We start from the raw sequence: 16,752 nt of genomic DNA on the forward strand, positions 1-16,752 counted from the left end.
ATTCCAGGGCCCTTGCCCTTAATTTATCCTAGCATGTGAGAAGTGTAGTTTGACATCCATTCATTTATTCATCTCACAAGTATTTATTGAGTACCTACTTATTAGAGCTAATCTCAAATTATGTGCAATCATTACTCTGAGTTATGCCATAGGATGGAGTAGATCTACAGTGATCTAACCTGAAAAGGCATTTTGAAATCTTAATTGCCTGCTGGAACCTCCCCCTGGCACTGCTTCCCATGGGCCAGTGTGGCTGTGCACACCCACACCCTCCCTACTGGGGAAAGACCCCAGCATTAGGCGATTTTACCTAAAAGTCGGTCCCACAGCACAGGCTCTGAAGCAGAACAGAAAGTGCCCGGGTCTGCAGGCAGACACGCTTCTGTTCCTGGCTGCAGCTCCAACCAGCTCTGTGAAATTGGGCGAGTCATTTCACCTCTGTTCCTCCATTTCCTCATTTCTAAAATGGGGATGAGGACCTGACCCTTCCACCTTTGTGCAGTTATTATGAGGATTTCCGTATTTACTTGGGTCAAGCTGCCAATTTTTCTCAGCAGTTATATCGACAATGCAGGTGCACTGGCTAGGAAGAATAATTGCCTAATTTGGGGCCTTCAGAATGTGTCTTTTGATCTTGCATCCAAGTGTGCGTACTGAGACAGGGTGGGCAGCAGGGGCCAGTTGGAAGGAGTGGAAACTGTCACTAATGTAAACAGACTGTCCCCACGTTCTGTCTTCTCCGGGGACCAACCTGTTCACAGAAATCACTATCATGTACTTACTGTTGGTGGTGTAATGTTGTCCTCTGCCTGGGGAGGTGGAAGAGTGGTGTGCCAAGGCCACCAGTCTTAAGTCAGACTACCTTGGGTTCAAGTCCTGGCTCTACGAGTTAGCAGCTGTGTGATGTTAGGCAGGTTACTTGACCTCTCTGTTTCAGTGTTCTTTTCAGTAAAACGGGAAGGTAGTAACCACCTCATTGACATTAAACAGCGCCTGGGGATTGCCAATCACGAAGGTGGTGGTGATTGGCAGGAAACCTGTGACATCACTTAGCCCCTTGCCTTCCTTGATCCCTTTTCAAAAACCTGTGTTTGTGCACACACCCCTTCCCCTTGCAGTTCCCCCCCACCTGCCTCCTCTCCTCCCTTTCTCGCTTTCTTTTTTCTATTTTAGATTTTAAAGTACAGTAGAGACCTCGACACTAGACTTGTTTAGAAGACCTCACTGAGTGGATAATAATAAATTATTTGAAGATGGTACTAATAAGGTCTCTGGAGTACACATGATGGGCCAGGCTAAGGTTAGGGGCAATAACTTTTCCTTAGGAAGTTTGGTTTACTAGGTCTCCCTTAGAGTTAGGCCCTTCATCCCTATTACTTGTTTAAGGGAGATTTCAAGTGCATTCAGAGGGAAAGGGAGATGATTGTGGAACTCCTACTATAAGCTAAGTGCTCTTATGTTAGCTCCTTAGGCTTGACATAAAAACTTCATTCAGGGAACAAGCCCGATCTCCTGTGGGGAGTGGGGAGGGAGCCCTCTCAGGAAGGCTGAGGCCTGCCTGTCTGTCCTTCCCAGTACTGGTGGCGGTGTGGGACGCACCACTGGGAAAGCTAAGAGGCCTAGACTATCTAGGTAAGAAGAGGCGGCCTTGGATCCCCCAGGGAGCAATCAGCTGGCTGCACAGAGTGGGGAGGGCCTTGAGCTGGTCTTTGAAGAATTAGGGGGATTTAGATAAGCCGGAAGGGGAGGGGGCATTCCATTGCCGGTTGCCCAGCATCAGGGCCAAAAATGAACAAAGGCCTGGGGGTGGGCAGGGCAGCCGGCATGAAGGGCACTTGTTGGAGCAGGGGGCAGCTCGTGGGTAACGGGGTGCCAAGCATGGGTGCCTGAGCCCACTGTCAGACCCGGGGAGTGCACGGGAGGGAAGGTTGTGAGCTGGAGAAGGATGGGATGAGAAGAGATCTGTGAAAAACGTGGGTGGCAAGGGGTGAGGGCTGGACTGGAGAGGCTGAGGGAGACCAGTGGTGGAAAAGCTGCAGCAATGCAGGTGGGAGGCGCTGAGGGCCTGGCCCCCAAGGCAGGAGGGGAGAGCAAAGGAGGTGAGGAAGGCTTCAGAGATGGCCTCTAGGTTTCCATGGTGAAGGACCAGAAAATAAGGCCAATGGGAGGCGGGGAGGGGGCAGCCTTAGAGGCAGGAACAAGGAGGGGTAGGGTTGGTTTGGGCCACGTTGATAGCAGTGGTTCAAAATGCTTTTCTCTTTCTTTTCTGCTTATTTTTAAAGGGAGAGGGTAGGCTTCGCTCATGGTTTTGTATCCAAAGTTTCAGTGGCTCTCTGGGAGGAACTTCAGTGGAGAATCCTCAGGAGCAGAGGAATGATCACAGCCCCATGGTTCCTTCTGGTTATTTTTAAGATTCTAACCATCCCTGTTCAGGCCGGAATTTCCAGGAACTGGCTGCTGCCCAGCGCCAACTGGTCCCTCCCAACCTCCCACTCCCTGCAGGGTGGGGCCCCATGGGTGGAGGCTCCTTAGGGTGGAGTTGGGTGGGTCTCCAGTGATAGGGAGGGCACTGAGCAGAGGCAGATGAGAGGCAGTGTGGCCTCACGCAGCCCTTCTGGATTTGATTATATAACACTTCATAGAGGAGAATTGTGAGGGCTTAGGCGAGGCCTTGTGAGATATGTACACAGCAGGATTAGACATTATGGGTATTTTTCAATTTATCTTGGGTTGCCTGCCCTTAAAACTAAAACACAAAATTGTCAGAGAGCATAAACAAGTGTGTAACCCTAGTAGGGAAAATGATTCGAGTTTGCTGCAGTTTCTCTAAGAAGGGTGTGGAATGCCACTAGCCAGATGGCCTTGAACTTAGAGGGTAGCATAGGTGTGGGTGTCCCCGCCCCCAGCCCTGCTTTGCTAGGCCTCAGTTTGGAAACTTGTCAGGCTTCTGCTTGGTTGTTACCTTTGCACCTGTCCTTATTGACATGCAAAATCAATTGCTTCACTTGGTCTTTCCGAAGTACAGGGTGTGGGCAGAATCTTATCTGAAGCCATGTCCTGTTTGGACAAGTTGGACTTGCCTTGGCAACTCTCCATAGGGTGGAGCAGATGGGTGGAGGCAGGAAAGTAAAATTGGGTGGCTTGTTAGCAGAGAGAGGAGAGAGGGTGGGTTGTTTGCTCACTGGATCATTATATTTCATCTGAAATGAAATAATTAACTTCTTTCCCATTTATAATACACATTAATGCAAAATAACTAATTCATGAGGGGCGAAGATTTAGAAACACCCCATGGAATTTTTCTCCTTTTCAAACCAGTCATAGAAGAGTAGGACAGGTGAAAATCACAGAGTGGCATGAAAATTTCCAAGAATGTCTAGGTAGGAAATTCCAGGTAGGTGCCAGTGCTTAGCTTTGTTTCAGGGAGCCTCCAGCTTAAAAATGCCTGCTGACATCTGTTGCCTGTCCCCTGTATTTCTGGCTAGGGCAACTGTCCTTAAATAATACTTGAGCCATTGGGGGATTTTGAAGAATTTGGGTAAAGAAACGAAGAGAGAAAAGTTTCTCTGGAAAGGAAGTTTAGCTACAGGGATGTTGCTTGCCTGCCCAGTTTTCCTAGCCAAGAATTACACACACACATGCACACACCGCCTTTTTTTTTTTTCTTTTTTTGCCTTAAGTTCCTTTGGGGAGTAAGGGTAGGGGAAGATAACATGTTTTCTCTTTGAAAAATCCAAAAACTTAGAAGAGTTGAAAGGGAGGCTTAGCGATGGTGTGTTAGTGTATTGCTCCGTATGCCTAGCCGAGGTCAGCTGGGAGACGGAAGTTTGCTTGGAGGAAGGCAGGTGATTTGGAGCCTCGGGGTCAGTCCTGGGTTGGGGAAGATAATGCAGGCACCCTTTGAGGATCTGTGGGAAGAAATGAGGGCATGGAGAAAGGAAGAAATAGGGAGATGAGAAGGGAGAACGTCAGAGGCAGGTCTTGCTCTAACCCCAAGAAACAGGAAACTGCTCCTGATACGTACACATTCTCTCTCCACCTTCCTCCTCCCTCAGGAAGGGGCAGGCAGTTGTCTGTAAGGTCGTTTCTGTAATAAATCATGCTCTAGCCTCCAGGCAAGCTGCTTTCAGAGGAGGTTTAGTAACCCCCTAACCTCGTCTTCCATGAAGGACTGTGTGTGTGTTTCTAAGCCCTGCAGCTCACCTGCAGCCCCGCTCCCCACTCCATAAAGCCATTGTGCATAGGTCTCAGACACCACTGGATAGGGCTCCAAAGCAGGACTGCATTACTTCTGAAACTTCATGTCAATGATTCACCAACCCTTTTAATCTATAATCACGCAGTCTTGCATTTTGACAGAAATTTGACCCTTATTTTAACATCTGAAAAGTCAGAAGTGCAGGTGGAAAGAGCATGAAGGGAAATCTGTTTCTCCTTTTTGAGGACCATTCATTTTTATTGGCCTTTCTCTGCAAAATAACACAGCTGGGGAAGATGGCATTTGCTCCAGTTATGGAAAATTATTTTGGCGGTGGTGATGTTCCTGTATATTTTTGCTTTTAAGCACCTCAATAACTTAGAATTTTTCATAAAAACAATTTTGCCCTTCCCCCCCCTTTTGGATGCAGTTTTGTTATCCTGGTATTGCTTAGTTTAGCATTAGAATGTATTTCTAAGACTAGCTAATGTATTTCTAAAGCTAGCTAAGCTAGTTAAATATAATGAAGATGTAAATGTGTTTATGATTGGAAAATAGTCGTCAGAAAAAAATAGAACCACATTTAGAGCCTCCTCTTCTCTGTGATACCCACATAAAATGATTAATAGAATTCCTGAGCCTGGTTAAAACCCACTAGGTTTAAAGACCCCGAGGTTGGCCAACTGGATTGATTTACTGCCGGTGTCCTGGTCTCTAATGCCTGTTTTAGTGCGCCACCTACTGGTTCTGCTTCAGATTGCCGTCAGTACTGTATGATAGATTTTCTAAGCATTTGTGGTTTACTTAGCATTCTTTCAGAATGGTAATAACCCCAGTGCACTGAGCCGCCCATGGGTACCAAAGACTGCCAAGTTTAGGGACCCTAATTCTTCCAGGGCTTAAGTTACTTCTCAGTTATGTGGAAGGCACTTTGAAGACTGTACAGTCACTCTTTTATGATTGTAGATCAGAACCTGTAAACAAATTAGTACCAATGACAAAAGTGGTCCCTGTAGTCAGAGATATGGGTGCAAAGTATAGAAATTTTTTGCAAATACATAAACAGAAGCCTCATTTCTGTTCATGTGTTTGATTCTGTTTCTAAATTTAGTTCCTTCCTAGCTTGGCTTCCCTATCTTGTCTTTGTTAAAAGTTTTGATTATGGAAATAATAAACTTGGCCGGGTGTAGTGGCTTACACCTGTAATCCCAGCACTTTGGGAGGCTGAGGCAGGCAGATCACTTGAGGTCAGGAGTTCGAGACCAGCCTAGCCAACATGGTGAAACCCCGTCTCTACTAAAAGTATAAAACTAAGCCAGGAGTGGTGGTGCATGCCTGTAATCCCAGCTACTCTGGAGGCTGAGGCAGAAGAATCCCTTGAACCCAGGAGGCAGAGGTTGCAGTGAGCCGAGATCGTTCCACTGCACTCCAGCCTGGGTGACAGAGTGGGACTCCATCTCAAAATAAAAATACATATAAATAATAAACTTTAAAAATAGAACACAGATGTGTAGAAAGCTGTCCCACCCACCGCCACTCCCAAGAAGCTCCTGTTAACAGTTTCGGGTGTGTGGTTCCAGACGTTTTCTTTGCATGTCCTTTATCTTCTTGTTTTATATCCTGTGACTATCACTAAAAGCATCATCATTTAAAAGCTATTATCAGAAGCTACCAAATTGGAAACAAAGTGCTTGTAGACATGTGAAATAGTGAGTTTGATTCTATTCTTTGTGATATTTGAATTTTGCACGGACTTTTTTTTTAATGTCCAGGGATGCATTATTTAGTTAGGAATTTCAAAAATAGGTATTCTAATCCTATCATTCCTTCTTTGTTTATTAACTTAAATACTTCTGTAATGAGAACATCCCTTCATCAACATTTGGATTACTTTGAGGTACATTTCTGGGCAAATAAACATACCCTTGTAATTATTTTTTAGTAAAAGCAAATCAGGTTCTGTTAGTGCCAGTGTGTTTTTTTTTTTTTTTTTTTTTGAGACCAGAGTTTCGCTTTTGTTGCCCAAGCTGAGTGCAGTGGTGCTATTTGGGCTCACTGCAACCTCCGCCTGCTGGGTTCAAGCGATTATACTGCCTCAGCCTCCCGAATAGCTGGGATTGCAGGTGTGCGCCACCACACCTGGCTAATTTGTTGTATGTTTAGTAGAAACGGGGTTTCACCACGTCGGCAAGGCTGGTCTCAATCTCCTATCCTCAGTGATCCACCCGCCTCGGCCTCCCAAAGTGCTGGAATTACAGGCATGAGCCACCACGCCCAGTCAGTGCCAGCGTTTTATACTAGACTATGTTTCTCTTAGGATTACAAGTCTTGCATTTCCTTAAACTTAGATAAAACAAAAAATTAAAGAACAATAGTGATTTAAATAATGTCTTAATGATAAAAAGATGTAGCACATTAATGTGTAATTCATTTCTAAAAGGATTCAGTAGTCGTTGCTGTGGGCATTAGACAAAGTCATTGAAAGCTATGTGAGCTAAATGGTAGACTTAGAATTTGAACGAAAAGGAACTCCAGAGCCCATCATCTTAATTTATTCTGCTGTGCTGCAATTAGTGGTCGTAAAGCGTGCAGGATGACATGAAGTGGGGAGATGCTGGCCTCGCTCAGAAGCTGTTGTTGCAGTGGTACAGTTGTGAAGTGACAAGGCCTTATATGAGACCTCATACAGGATGTAGGCAGCTGTTAACTTTGAAACTGAATCTAGTCAGAGTTTTATTTAAGGGTGGGGGATAGACCTCTAAGGCTAGTGTATGTTAGCAAAGAGGCAAACGCCAGACATTTTTGCTCCGGAAGTTGGAACCAACACATTTAGTGTTGTGTGTACAGAATATACATCCAGATTTTATGTGCATATGGATATAAATGAGGGCAAAAGGAGTGTGTGTGTGTGTGTGTGTGTGTGTGTGTGTGTGTGTTTTAATCTCACTTGATAGACCTAAATCCTTGAGAAGCAGATAGGGAGCCATGCTCTGCATTTTACAAATGATCACTCTTGCCCCATGGCTGCGTTAGTTTGCAGCCTGCTTGAGTCTCAAAACCATGGCTCCTTCCTTATACACCTGAGAATGTGAATGCTTTAATTTAGAAGCATTTGCATCAAGATACTCTCTAGTGGGATAGATGAGTCTGGAAGAGTGAATTCAGTGTAAAAAGCTGGGGGTGAGGAGGTGGGAGGCTGCCACAGGGTGACCAGCCGTGAGTCAGGGCTGCTAAATGATCTGACCTCATTGATGTAAGCAGGAGATCTCACATCTTTTGTTTATGGTCCACTGTGAGGCACTGGACAACAATTCTTAGAACCATGTTCATCCGTACAGCTGCTAGTCTGGGAACTGCTTAATAATAGATCCCAAGACACAAAAGCGTTTTCATCCCTCATTACGAAATCATCTATTTTTCACTGGCTGTTGCGGTTAGTTCTTGCTGGAATACATAAGAGGGTAGTAGCACTATTGATTTGAGCAGCTTGGTATCAAATTGTGTTTGCAGATTACAATACACCCTGTGATGGAGGAAAATATAATTTTGAAGTCAAGGCCTTATGTCGAGTTATTGATGAAATTCGTGTGTTGTCATGAGATTCAAAACAGGCTTTCTTCAATGAATCAACGAAGCACAAGAACGACATAGTATCACTTCCATCATTGTATATGAAGATATCTTAGTATAACCCGTAGAGCACCAACACAACAAATTATAGGATTGCTATCATGGAGGTGGGGATGGGGGTTTTTAACACTGAAATACAAGAAGGAATCCAGAACCCGGGATTCCTGCAGCTTCTTCAGCTGGAACTCACTCTAGAACTTGTTCACTTTGCCACTCAAACCAGGGTGATCTATGAAGACCTTACCTCTAACCAAAGCACTGAGCACTTAAACCAAATTTGGCTAATGAGTGCCTGAAGTCGATTTCTGAAAGTGTGTCTAGTAGCAGGACAGTGTTTCTGTAACTGAGGAGACACATTTGAACATTGAGCAGACTGAATATTTTGTCCTGTGAAGAAGCAGTTGGCTTGATGTAGATTAGTGTTAGAAGTGGACTGTACAGAACACAGAAGAAAATAGAAGGGATGGCAAGCAGAGAACAACAGAAGAAAAAGACAGGACAGGATCAAGGTGGACATTTCCTTTACAATAGGCTCATTTCCTAATGAGGAGAAATCTGAGTGAAAACAAGCTAATATTCTTCATATGTGAAAAGTGCTTAGAAAACAATAAGAAGTGGTGGAGGCTGTCAAGCCCTAAGTAGGCATTTCTCAAAAGAAGAAATCCAAATGGTCAATAGAGCTGAAAAAAAATAACTTCAATAACCAAATCAATTTAGAATAAAAATCATTTGCCATCTTGAGACTTAACAAGTTGGCAAGGTGTTTATCTTTTATAACACAAGTGATAACACATGTTGCTGGTGGAGGTTTGGGGAAACAGGTTGTATTTTATTAATGAAAATAATAGTTCGTCTTTGCCAGGTGATGGCATCAGGCGCTTTGGGAAATGTATATACTTCTCACCCAGGAATTCCCCTACAGAAAACTTATCCTAAAAATTAATGGTGTGCAGGAGGATATATTTAAAGAGGCTCATTGCTGTTCGTAATGGCGAAAACTTAGAAGCAACCCTAAGTGCCTAATAAAGAGGAAGAAGTTAAGTAAACTGATGTGTTCACACAGTGGCACGGGGGATTTGATGGTGCAGAACCATACTTGGTGCAGAACCATACTTACTGTAAAAGAAACATTTTCACATAAATTGTTCAGTGAAATGATAGGTACTAAATACCATGTACACTATGAGCCCAGTTTTAAAGAGGGTTTGTTAGAATAAAAATGAAATTTTAATGATGGTTGGTTCTAGGTTTTCTTTTTGCTCGTCTTTTTTTCCCCTAATTTTTCTGCGACCAACATCGGGGAAAAGGGAAGGTGTTTAACGGTCATATGTAATCTGAACCCCTAAAGAGTTGCACGGCAATCCCAAGCAAGCTTTGGCGCTCAGAAGGGGCTGTACATAGTGTTCCAGAAAAGTCAGGGTTTCTGTATTGAGTTAGAAATGCTGGTTGGCTCTCATCTGGTTATGACCATGGAGTCTGGTTTTAATTATGTAAATGGCATCTTTCATAGGTAAGGGAAACAAATTCCAGCCATTCCAGGGGTAGGGGAGAAAAAGGAGTAGAGAAGTGGGGTGAGGTATTATATTTCATTTTATTATTTATTTATTTATGTTTTTTTTTTGAGGTAGTGCCTCGCTCCATCACCCAGGCTGGAGTGCAGCGGTGCCATTTCGGCTCACTGCAACCTCCGCCTCCTGGGTTCAAGCGATTCTCCTGCCTCAGCCTTCCGAGTAGCTGGGATTATAGACGAGTGCCATCACGCCCAGCTAATTTTTGCATTTTTAGTGGAGACGGGGTTTCACCATGTTGGCCAGGCTGGTCTTGAACTCCTGACCTCAGGCGATCCGTCTGCCTCAGCCTCTCAAAGTGCTGGGATTACAGGGGTGAGCCACCTTGCCCAGGCTATATTTTATTTTTACTAGTTTGTATTTAAAGTAACCTTGAGACTTAGATGGATACCTTGTTTTGTTTTCTAGGCCAAACACCAGAGCACCCTAGAAGGTTTAACTAAAAGAATGCTCATGTTTGACCCAGTTCCTGTCAAGCAAGAGGCCATGGACCCTGTCTCAGTGGTAAGTTTTCCAAGATTGAACACCTCGCCTTATTTTTTCCAAGTGATGATAACATTATTGTGTGTTGAATTATTCCTTGAAATCATGGCCGGGCGTGGTGGCTCACGCCTGTAATCCCAGCACTTTGGGAGACCGAGGCGGGAGGATCACCTGAGGTCGGGAGTTTGAGACCAGCCTGACCAACATGAAGAAACCCCGTCTCTACTAAAAATACCAAATTAGCCGGGCGTGGTGGCACATGCCTGTAATCCCAGCTACTCGGGAGGCTGAGGCAGGAGAGTCGCTTGAACCCGGGAGATGTAGGTTACAGTGAGCCGAGATAGCAGAGATCGCACCATTGCACTCCAGCCTGGGCAACAAGAGCGAAAGTCCGTCTCAAAAAAAAAAAAAAAATCACTCATTGCTTGACAGGCATTTCATAGGCAAACTTTTCTCAACGCCACCAGGTATGAGTGAGCTAAATACTGTCCTAGCAGCTGTGGATCCTTTAAATGGGATCTGCGCTTCCTTAAGACCCGTGCCCGGTGTCCCCCTAAGATATGATCAGCATAGAACTTAGGCCACAGGTGAATCCTCTCATGACAGAAGTAAGTTTACAAAAATTCCTCAGCCCTTTTGTGTGTAAAAATATATTAAGAATAGGATGATTTGCTTAAAAACCAATGACAACAGCCATATGGAGCTGTAACTATATGAGATGACTGAGGGAAGCCAGCGAGAGAAAGACTTGGCAGTGAGGACGGAATCTCGTTTACTTGGAAGAGTCTGGCTGGGTAGGAATTACGTTCATTGTCCTTTTCAGCACCTTAGCGCTAAGCCAGCCCCTCATGGGAGCCAGGCCACTGGCTGCTTTTAGGCCGCCAGGGACTAGTGAGGAGTCTGGGGTTTCTGCAGGTACAACACCAGTGCCATGAAGGTGAGACATGGTGACAGAGGAAGGTGTCTGACTTCAGAGCAGGGAGTGGTTTCAACTTGAGGATTCTGGTTGAGTGAATATTGAATAACAAGGCAATGCTCCCACTCTGTCTTGCTCTTTTCTTCCACGGGCTTGGAAAATATTCACAAGGGGGAAAACTTGGCCCGAGGTGTGTATCTGAAGGTTGGTAATGACACGCTTGCAAAATTAGATCATCCTTGTGCATGGGCTCTGGAGGTTCCTGCCAAAAATGTTTATACAAGACACGGGGGTCACGCCGAGGCCCTTGGAGCTGAGTTGCCATGGATATTACTAAGCCAGTAAAGTGTTTACCAGTATCTATAATGCAAGTTAAGTCAGAGGGGCTTTAAGGAAATAACATTTACATTCCAGCATGATAACTGAATAACCAAGTGTCTGAATATGGTAGCAACTGAGCAATAAGGATTTTATTAATCAAAAAACTAAATTACTTTTTGAGATGGAGTCTCACTCTGTCGCCTAGGCGGGAGTGCAGTGGTGTGACCTCAGCTCACTGCAACCTCCGCCTCCCAGGTTCAAGTGATTCTCCTGCCTCAGCCACCATAGTAGCTGGGATTACAGGCGCATGCCACCACGCCCGGCTAATTTTTGTATTTTCAGTATAGGCCAGGTTTCACCATGTTGGCCAGGCTGGTCTTGAACTCCTGACCTCAGATAATCCACCCACCTCAGCCTCCCAAAGTGCTGGGATTACAGGCATGAGCCACCGCTCCTGGCCAAAAAACTAAATTACTTCGAATGTTATTCAGTGCTGTCATTGTATTCATCAAATCCCCCTCCCCGGCATCACTACATGATCACGTTAGAGGAAAATGAAGGTATAAAATTTCCCCATTAGTTATATTCTTGAAATAGGAATAGGTTTTTAGCACTGGAGAATATGATTCATTTTACAATTGGTGCAGAGCCATCAGTGAGGCATTTTACTGTTCAATGTACCTCCAGTGCTTTTAATCAAGCATGAACATAAGGCTCAAGAGTCTAATATAAAGCTAAAATGAAGATCCACATTGCTAAATTGGTGTGATATATATAATTAAGTGCAAGGAAATGCACTTAACCGAAAAAAAAAATGTGGAATAAAATGAATTTGAAGTAACTGTTAAACTTGTATTGTTGTAACGTAGTAATACATGAAGTTAAAATATGTAGAACTGATTTTGCAGTTAATGGTCTTTTTCTCCTTCATGTGCTAGATTTCAACTGCAGCTGACACTTTTAGAATTTAGTTTCACCAAAAGTTACTGTCAGTCCTTTAAAATGAAGGTGTTTTTTTTTCTTTTTCTTTTTTTGGTTTTAACTTTCTTCAGCAGGAAGTATTTTTTTCTTAATTCAGTGCAACCTCAGTTAACAGAAACATTTGAGCAGTGGGGTGTTAAAATGATTTTACTTAAACAAATTAAAAAGCTTTTGTTTCCACTCTTAAGTGTTCAAATTTCGTCTTTCCTGCCTTCATAGGTGAAGTATATTGAACCTAATTTATTATTCCTTTTTCTTTTTAATTCAGTCTTTGATCTGAAGGTAAAAGTCTTTCGCTATTCAAGTCAACGTTGTAAACATTAAGGCACAATAGGACATTTGTAAAAGTATTTTTAATTTCTATAGATGAATAAAAATATTTTATGGTAACTTATTTCTCCCCCTCTTCCCACCCCCTAAAAGGATAGCACAGCAGAAACAATCGCTTGTTTGTGCTTTTGCTATAGGTTAGAGAAAGTGAGGACATGTCATTTCCCTCTTAATCAAATATAAGCCCTCATACTGTTCTCCACTAGCCTTGTGCTTTGAGGCTTGGGGTCACCCTGTTAAAATTTGCTAGAATGAGGAACAGAGGAGACTCTCCCTCCCCAAGTCTGTGCCTTCAGTCTCTGCTACTTACATCCACCCAGTGTTGGCAAAATCACCAGCAGCTCCCCGAGCTTCTGTTTTTTTTTTTTGAAAAAATTATAAAATATGAAACTGTGTGTAAAAAAATGCGCATGTACATAAATTTTTTTTTTTACCATTTCCCAAAAGATTGAAAATTAAAGGATTTAATTCAGGAAGTGAGCAAGGAAACAAATTGTAAAAAAACAAAACAAATCAAAAAACAAACTTTAAAAGTATTCTTCTATTCCTGTGGAAAGATTACTTTTGAAGAAAGGATTAATAATATTCTGTTATCTTCAGTCATCTAACAGACTCCTTATAGATAGGAAAGTATGTCACATCAGTAATTTCCTCTGCTCTTTTCTAACAGAAACTTTTCATGGCTTTTTCAAGCCTGGTGGAAAGAGAGCTTTCTACCTCTGTTTGCATGGGGGTGCATGCCATTTGCTCTTCCCAGAGTGTGTGTTTATACACGCACCATGCCTTCCTGTGCCTGGAACCCTCTCTTGGATGAAGATTCTTTTGACTTGACCTGTAATGGACATTCACTTTTTTTCATGTTGAGGAATAGTGAAATAGAGATTTCATCCATGTTTCCGTCATTCCGTCCACTGAAACTGTCTTATAATGGAAAGCTCGCCAAAACTATTCCTCATAAAATGAGAAACTATTGCAATTATCACCTTAGCATAAAGTGATAGAGCTTTGGGAAATTATCCAAACATGGTACCTCTTTCCCTGTTGCAATTAAAATCATTTTTTCAAAGTTCAAAATAATTAGTATATTATTCTTCACCTTATCAGTAATAAAAACCTGCTAAGAGAGTGTGTCAATTTACTACACATTCATCAAGTATTAATTGAGCACCTATTGCAGGCCCTCATCACCTCACAGTGCAGTGAGAAGCAGCAGTCAATAAGTAAATGCACACTGTGCAGGGGTGTGAACATCTGAGTACATGTTACAGACGGAAATAACTCTTATAGCAGATCAGTGGTTTTGTGGAGGTTTTTTTGTTTTGGTTTTTTGTGTTTTTTTTTTTTTTTTTTTTGGTTTGGTTTTGGTTTTGAGACAAGGTATTGCCCTGTTGCCCAGGCTGGAATGCAGTAGCAAGATCACTGCAACCTCAAACGCCTGGGTTCAAGCAATCCTCCTCCCTCAGCCTCCCCAGTAGCTGGGACTACAAGCAAGCACCACCATGCCCCGCTACATTTTTGTTTTTTTCTGTAGAGACAGGATCTCATTATGTTGCCCAGGCTGGTCTCAAACTCTCGGCCTTAAGATATCCTCCTGCCTCAGCCTCTCCAAGTGCTGGAGTTAAAAGTGTGAGCCACCATGCCTGGCCCAGCCCATTGTTTTAAGCCCTTAAGATCCCTAGTGGGGGCCAGAGGCAGAAGCGGGAAAGACCCATGTCTGTGTCTTGTCTTTGGACTGCTCTGTTCCAGGACACAGGGTCTCTTGGACTAAGCAGCATGCACAGAGGGCACTGGAGGTCCATCCGTGGCCAGAGGCACATTTTTTGCTTCATCAACATTTGTCTCTGATTTGGATATGGGGCCAGTACAGCCGTGCTTGTATGCATTGCTTTGATAGAACATAGGAACTGTCTGGAACAGAGCGGGGAAGACTGTTACCAGGTTGTACCTGCCCAGAGCACACACCCTGCCGTGTCAGTCCCTACACGGCACCAGATTGTTGGAAGCTGATTGCAAAAGCTTGTGTGTGCCACCCAAATAAAGTGAACCAGCTTGAGGGACCACATGTCTTCACCCTTTTGTGAGGCAGTTGGGCTGGAAACAGTTAATTATCTGCCCAGAGTTGGGTGTCTGTGTCCAAATGTGTCTCTCCCCACAGTTAGTCTTGTACCTTACAATAATCGCACATCCAATAGAGGGAATGAGGGCATTCATTTGAGAACAGACTTATCAGCAAACTGCATAATGTTGATAAAGCTTAGCTTTATGTGTGGCTTTTTCTGTCTTAATGGCTTGAGAAACCTGAGAATATTATTAGATTTGCAAATCTGGAGGTTCTAAATTCCTACTCTCCCAAAACTCACCCCATGCATAGAAAAATCCAGCAATGACAGCAATAAAACTGTGTCCTCATTTTGCTTCCCATTTAGCTGCCAATAACTATTGGCATTAAAATCTAGGTCATAGGGAGGTCTTGGAAGAACAGGGCTGAAAATAAGGGAGAAGCTACATTTTCGTCAATAGAAACAATGCTGCCTCCCATTTCCTAAAGTTTTTTCCTAGTACCAGAACCATTGCCCTTTGGAGAATTATATAAAGCACATTAGACTTTAGGACTAGGCGAAATCATTCTCCTTCCTATATTTAATTACTCCCTGAAACCCTCCAGTGTACATGATTTATAATGGATTTATTTTGTTGTGTTGTTAATGAACCTTGTGCCTCTTTTAATAATACCCATCTTAATATTTAAATTTAAATCTATTTAATACTTAATGTTGCTATCTTTTGGATCTCTTGCGTTGGTACTGTGCGTGCCTGGCTTTAAAGAAAGGTAGAGAATCTTTTCTTCATTTGATCCTTGATCTATAACTCAAAGCTGTTTTTATGCATTTTGTGTTTTCTGATTTTATATCCTTCATGTTCTTGTTTTTAAGCAGTATTAGTAGTGAAAACTGGCTGCGCGTGGTGGCTCATGTCTGTAATCCTAGAACTTTGGGAGGTTGAGGCAGGCAGATCACTTGAGCCCAAGAGTACGAGACCAGCCTGGACAACATGACAAAACCCAGTCTCTACAAAAAAATACAAAAATTAGCGAGGCGTGGTGTCATGTGCCTGTAGTTCCACTTCCTCTGGAGGCTGAGTTGGGAGAATCATATGAGCCCAGGAGGTCGAGGCTGCAGTGAGCTATGATCATACCACTGCACTCCAGCCTGAGTAACAGTGAGACCCTATCTCAAAAAAAAAAAAAAAAAAAAGAAAAGAAAATTCTTTTTCCCTCCTTTAAATAGACCTTTAGTATCTTTATTTTTTATCTCTGTCATTTAGAGCATTGCTATTCAAAAGGTAGCCTAAGTTCCCTTGGTCCACTCCCCGGTAATTCAAAATTTGCATTTTAACGAGTGCTCCAGGGAGATGGATGTGCACAGTAAAGTTTGAGAAACTCTGGTTGGGAGCAGTAGAGCCCGTGACAGTGAGCATCTCTTGTATAAGCAGGGACAAGAAGGGATTTCCAGGATGGCATGTGTATAAGCTCGTTGTGTAGGTTATCCCATAACCTTGATCTTAACCATGAGGACCTGACATCCAAACCAGATAAAGATAAACACAGTTATGTGATAAAGTTTCACTGACTGACTCCTCCCTAACAGGCTGCTCTGCAGGCCTGGAGCAGGGACTGGGCATCTGGAATTTTAAAAACAACACAGATGATTCCAATGCATAACCAGCCGAGGATTCGCCCAGACCAAGCCCAGAGAGGAAAGAGGGTGATCTCAGTAGGAATCCCTATCAAAACCACTGCTGCCCCACAGTCATAACTCACAATAGTGGCCACCAGAGGGGCCAAGGAGACCCAGAAATTAATAGTGCATTTACGCTGTTTAATTACAAGGCACCATTGGGTTTTCTTGGTTGCATCCCAAGTTAGTATTGCCTCTAACTCTTAAACACATAGGGTTTTAGAGCTGGAAGAGAAGCACAATATGTTGTTTATCACTGTCACTGTCAGACATTCAAGTACAAAGAATTTTCTGCAGGTAAGCAGGCTTGACATGCAAAATTTCAGTTTCCCTAAAATGCCTAGTAAAGATGATGGTTTATGTTGAGTTTAATTTTTTTAAATTAAAAATTAGGTTGCATTCTACAAAGAAAATTTACAACAAAATGTTAGTTAAGGAATAGAAGTAATTTAGGTGAACTCCATGGTCAAGGATAGTGCCCATTGTGTGAAATTATGATGACTGGTTTGTATTTAAAGCTGGCAGATGAAAGTTAGGTTATCCTGATATTTAAAGAGAGAAAGGTGTTTGAAGATAAATGAGGTCAGT

At 43.1% G+C, this 16,752-nt stretch overlaps 1 protein-coding gene across 3 annotated transcripts in view, besides 5 other annotated features; it reads left to right on the forward strand.

The window, feature by feature from the left end:
- KLF3 (KLF transcription factor 3) overlaps positions 1-16,752 on the forward strand; it is a 37,319-nt gene that overhangs the window by 6,584 nt on the left and 13,983 nt on the right. For 2 of the 3 annotated variants that reach the window (XR_925142.2, NM_016531.6), the window contains exon 2: positions 9,805-9,900. Coding sequence is in view for 1 of the 3 variants with exons in the window: in NM_016531.6 (NP_057615.3) it covers positions 9,844-9,900 (57 nt within the window). In the remaining 2 variants the exon portion in view is untranslated. Of the gene's footprint in view, positions 1-9,804; positions 9,901-16,752 lie in introns of those variants that run through there. The other variant, XM_047415764.1, reaches the window with a different exon arrangement.
- Positions 1,836-2,405: an enhancer, noted in NCBI's record as "H3K27ac-H3K4me1 hESC enhancer chr4:38674239-38674808 (GRCh37/hg19 assembly coordinates)". NCBI's record gives its function as "activates a minimal SCP1, AML or CMV promoter by ChIP-STARR-seq in primed H9 embryonic stem cells {active_cell/tissue: H9 hESC(primed)}" and the evidence as "EXISTENCE:reporter gene assay evidence [ECO:0000049][PMID:30033119]".
- Positions 2,361-2,664: an enhancer, noted in NCBI's record as "KLF3-III DHS fragment used in reporter constructs". NCBI's record gives its function as "activates the minP and KLF2 promoters by reporter assays in K562 erythroleukemia and HEK293 embryonic kidney cells {active_cell/tissue: K562 | HEK293}" and the evidence as "EXISTENCE:reporter gene assay evidence [ECO:0000049][PMID:23985037]".
- Positions 4,827-4,876: a silencer, noted in NCBI's record as "silent region_15363". NCBI's record gives its function as "represses an Ori minimal core promoter by ATAC-STARR-seq in GM12878 lymphoblastoid cells {active_cell/tissue: GM12878}" and the evidence as "EXISTENCE:reporter gene assay evidence [ECO:0000049][PMID:35858748]".
- Positions 16,431-16,600: an enhancer, noted in NCBI's record as "experimental_79886 CRE fragment used in MPRA reporter constructs". NCBI's record gives its function as "activates a minimal promoter by MPRAs in K562 erythroleukemia cells, with activity observed for the non-introgressed 4:38688919 or rs4833085 variant allele {active_cell/tissue: K562}" and the evidence as "EXISTENCE:reporter gene assay evidence [ECO:0000049][PMID:34662402]".
- Position 16,516: a transcriptional cis regulatory region, noted in NCBI's record as "Neanderthal adaptively introgressed variant 4:38688919 (GRCh37/hg19 assembly coordinates) or rs4833085 in the experimental_79886 CRE". NCBI's record gives its function as "modulates activity of the experimental_79886 enhancer by MPRAs in K562 erythroleukemia cells {active_cell/tissue: K562}" and the evidence as "EXISTENCE:reporter gene assay evidence [ECO:0000049][PMID:34662402]".

The sequence above is a fragment of the Homo sapiens genome, chromosome 4 (assembly GCF_000001405.40).
Source record: "Homo sapiens chromosome 4, GRCh38.p14 Primary Assembly".
Classification (NCBI taxonomy): domain Eukaryota; kingdom Metazoa; phylum Chordata; class Mammalia; order Primates; family Hominidae; genus Homo; species Homo sapiens.